Source organism: Homo sapiens, chromosome 12 (assembly GCF_000001405.40).
Source record: "Homo sapiens chromosome 12, GRCh38.p14 Primary Assembly".
NCBI lineage: Eukaryota > Metazoa > Chordata > Mammalia > Primates > Hominidae > Homo > Homo sapiens.
In genome coordinates, this window is record NC_000012.12 from 127,380,393 (window position 1) to 127,384,990 (window position 4,598).

General features: G+C 42.5%; 1 annotated feature.

Moving 5' to 3' along the window:
- Positions 772–881: a silencer, noted in NCBI's record as "silent region_5086". NCBI's record gives its function as "represses an Ori minimal core promoter by ATAC-STARR-seq in GM12878 lymphoblastoid cells {active_cell/tissue: GM12878}" and the evidence as "EXISTENCE:reporter gene assay evidence [ECO:0000049][PMID:35858748]".

The window sequence follows — 4,598 nt, forward strand, 5'->3', positions numbered from 1 at the left end:
TGGCTTATTTCACTTAATATAATGTCCTCCGGGTTCATCCATGTTGTCTCAAATAGCAGATTTCTTTCTTTTTTTTAAAGGCTGAATAATGTAAATTGATACAGCCATTATGGGAAGCAGGATGAATGTTCCTCTAGAAATTAGAAATAGCACTACCATATGATTTCCCATTCCCACTTCTAGTTATATATCCAAAGGAAAGAAAATCACCATCTCAAAGCGATCTCAGTACTCACATGTTCCTTGCAGAATTATTCACAAGAAATAGAAATGACCGATGTGCCCGTGGACGGATTAGTGGTAAAGAAAATGTGATCACACACACAGACACGCACACACACACACACACCATATACAATGGAATACTCTATTTTTAATGAAACACATCAACTCTACTTTGGATTTTTTGTCTTCTTATAATCATAAATAAAAACGAACACTTTCACAAATAGAATACAACTTATAGAGTAGGATTTCATTGTTATAATGTCCACGTGTCAGTTACTTATCCATGCGTCTAATGGTCGTATTGGAGGGCGCTGCGCTTAGAATTTTTTTCTTCCTAAGTTTAATAATGTTATAACGAGCATGCATCATTTTAAATAAAAGTAATAAAGCCTCTTAAGATTTTGGCTGAAGCAGGTTGCCAGGAGCCAGGGGTCAGGGGCTGCGCTGAGCGCTGGCTCGGGCTGCAGGAGGGAGGCTTCATTTGCTCACACTCAGGTGGAAACCGGGAAGGCCTGGAAATCGCAGGTCCTGAGGACGCGGCGAGTTCACGGAGAGGACCTGCCGGGCAGGGGCTCTGGGAGCCTCCGCGGGGAGGGGAGGGCGCGCGGCCGGCGCGGCCACAACCCGGTCTGCGGCGCCATCTAGCGGGCGCGCCGGGACCGTCGCCCACTAGGCCCTTTTCCGGAGGAGAAGCTGATGCCAATCAAAACGCCATCTCTACTCCTTGTCAAAGTCAAGTCATTTAGCGAAAGGCCTAATGAGCTCTGCAATCAGCTACGCAAGAAAAAGGAGTGTTTAGGAACATTCCCTAGCTGTTTCTCTCAGGCGGGGATGATGTGCATCTGGAGTGCCCTGGGATAAGGGGTGGGAGGCAGGGCAGAGAGGCTGTAATAGACACGTCTCTCCTAATGGTCAGGGACCAAGCCACCCTTCTCATTAAATCATTTCAATTTCACCACTACTCTTGAGCTCCTCCTTTTTAAGCACACTGAAATCCTAATTTTACAAAAGTTGCTGTCATTTATAATATACTTGTATCATACTGTACATACATAATTTCCTCACTTAACCCTCAAAATAATTGTTCTGGGAATTCTATTACCCATTTTGCAGGAAAAAAAAAAAAAGGCCAAGACTCCAGAAAGCTGAGGATCAGGTCTGAGATCATAAGGCTTAAGTAACAGGTGAGGCAAGATTTAAACCAAGAGATCTTGACCTCACTTAACCACAAGCATTTCCACATTTCTCCTGCTGTGGAGAAGAGATTGTTCCTTATTGAACGATACAGAAGGAGAGAAATACGTTGGGGGCAAGGGTTCAGGCTTGGCATTTCTTAGCAGAATCTCAGAATTAAAGGAGACTGCGGTGCAATTCGGGAGCAAGTTGAGCTCTTTCACTGCTCATAAACACGTGCTTATTTATGACTCGGCACTGTGATTCAGTAATCTAGTTCACCTGTCAACAGTAAAGGTGACTTTTTAAAGAAAGTTACTGCTTCAGAATACAGAATTCTGATTATTTTACCACCTTTAAGGAGGTGTAAAACAGCAGCATAAAATCCTTCACATCATTGTCCTCAATTTTGTGATTCAGGGCTTATCACCCAACGAAGCAGAACAATTCCAGGGCAGAAGTCTCTGATGGATGTGCCACACGACAGCTGGTTTTTGTGTGTGTGTGTGAGATGGGTCATAAATATTAATGGTATTGACAGAGTCTAAAAAATTTGTCATTTCACATCCCTGCCATTGAAGCACCCGGAATTCCACAACTTTGTTGCTCTGACTGACAACCACCCCTGTTTCTTTCCTGAATTCTCTTAGTTGGGTCTATTTTTCCCTTTCACCTTCAGAAATTATACATCAGCAAAGGTTTTCCCAAATAGTTGCAGGTCAACTGAACCAAACATCTTAAGGTTTTTTCCCTTTTTCTTTTCTACTTAGCTGATGTCAACCTGCATTCTGGGATCAATTCTTTTGGGCATATATATATATATATATATATATAACTTTTTTTTTTTTGAGAGAGGGAGTTGGGCTCTGTCAACCCAGGCTGGAGTGCAATGGCGTGATCTCAACTCACTGCAACCTCTGCCTCCCGGGTTCAAGTGATCCTCCCGCCTCAGCCTCCCGAGTAGCTGGGATTACCGTTGCATCACCACACCCGACTAATTTTTGTATTTTTTTATAGAGACGGGGTTTCACTATGTTGGCCAGGCTGGTCTCGAACTCCTGACCTCACGTGATCCGCCCGCCTCCGCCTCCCAAAGTGCCGAGATTACAGGCATGTGCCACTGCACCGGGCTGCCTCTATATTTTTGAATGTGCGTTAGGAAATGGTGTAACATCTGATCCCTGTTGTGGGAACAGTTTGGTAATCGGTTCCCTGGAAGGGCTCACTGGTGCTCGTGTGTGTTACCTGTGAGTAGTTGAATTGTATTGGATCCCATAGAAAAGCTGCGGTCCACTGAGCGGTAACTGCATACAGCGACATTTACAAAGTGCATGCCCTTAAATATCACCCAACAAAGACAGTTATTGCTGGTCATTTGAACAGCGTATTCACTGGCTGGTTTGGGGCAGGCAGGAAAAGAAAGTCGCTGAGACAAGAGGGGTTTCCGTATGACGAATGGAGGGAATCCAGTCAAGGACCCAGCAGCCTGTAAGCCTAACAGCAGTTTGTTGATTAAAAACGACATGACAACAAATCACAGAAAGCCGCACTCCCCCCCTCCGCCCCCCAACACACCCACGGGCTGCCCTCTGCTCATGAACCACATCCATTTGTGGTTTCTTCTCCTCTGATGCTTTCTGGGTTTTCTTTCTTCTCTGGGGAGGTCAGCTTTGTTCGTGTTACACAGGCTGCGTTTCTCTGACAGGAGCTGATATTTACTCGGAGAATTTTTCTGCCAAAGCACGGAAGTGTATATGGCTTTAAATACCCATTGCTGGAACCTGGCAAGTTTGAGGGTGTGGTGGTGGTGTGTGTGTCATGATGACTCTCTTGATTTACTGTGAAATTGGCTCTGGAATGACAGCAAGTTATTAAAGCTACTGAAAAGAGTAAGACCGGTGTTGGTAGTCCTTTTTTTTTTAACTCATTTTTTTGTTAATTTTTATTTTTATTTATTTATTTTTTGAGACCGAGTCTTCCTCTGTCCCTCAGGCTGGAGTTCAGTGGTGCAATCTTGGCTCAGTGCAACCTCCGCCTCCCGGGTTCAAGCCATTCTCTGCCTCAGCCTCCCAAGTAGCTGGGATTACGGGTGCCCACCACCACACTTGGCTAATTTTTGTATTTTTAGTAGAGACAGGGTTTCACCATCTTGGGCGGGCTGGTCTTGAACTCCTGACCTGGTGATCCACCCACCTCGGCCTCCCAAAGTGCTGGGATTACAGGCGTGAGCCACTGTGCCCTGCCTTTTTAAATTTTTAATTGATAATAATTGTATATATTTATGGAGTGAAATGTGATGTTTTGATATATGCATACCTGCTTGATGATTATATCAAGCTAATTAACATAACCATCACCTCTAATACTTATTATTTTTGTAGTGAGAACATTTAAAATCATTCTTTTAGCAATTTTTAAGTCCTGTGATTGTGACTACGTGGACGAACCTGGAGGATATTATGCTAAGTAAAATAAGCCAGACACAAAGACCACATTATATCGCTTACACATTGAATCTGGAAAAGTTGAATTTGTTTAATTTTTAATTAGAACTTTTGACTGTCTCCAGATCTCATAAACTGCCGAAAGATAGCCTTCCTGGGAGAATCCTGACTACTGATCTTAGAGTCACGTAGCTACCTTACACTTATTTTATTTTTTACTTGTAAACATTTTATTTTTCAATAATTATAGACTCACAGGAAGTTGCAAAAGTAGTAAAAAGAACCTTGTGTAGTATTCTGCCAGTGGTGATATCTTACAGAGTTATTGTACATTATCAAAACCAGACTACTGACATTGATATATTTTCAAAAATTTTCAACCTGCATTCATTTGCATGTGTGTGATTCTATCTACAATTTAATCCCATCCATAGATTTGTGTAGCAAAAAGCAAAATTAGATACAGGACTCTTCCATCATTGCAAGAGATCTATTTTGTGTTCTGTCTTTGTATTCACACCTACCAAACTTCTGCCCATTTGTCTTGGCAGCCACTGCTCTGTTCTCCACCTCTGTTGTTTTGTCATTTCGAGAATGTTCTATACTTGGAATTTCACAGTATATAATCTGCTTGGATTGGTATTTTTCACTAAGTGTAATATCTTCCTCGTCCATCTAGGTAGTTCTCTGTATCTCGTCATTATTTTTCCTCACTAAATAATATTCCTTTTTATAGATGCACAAGTGTGCGTC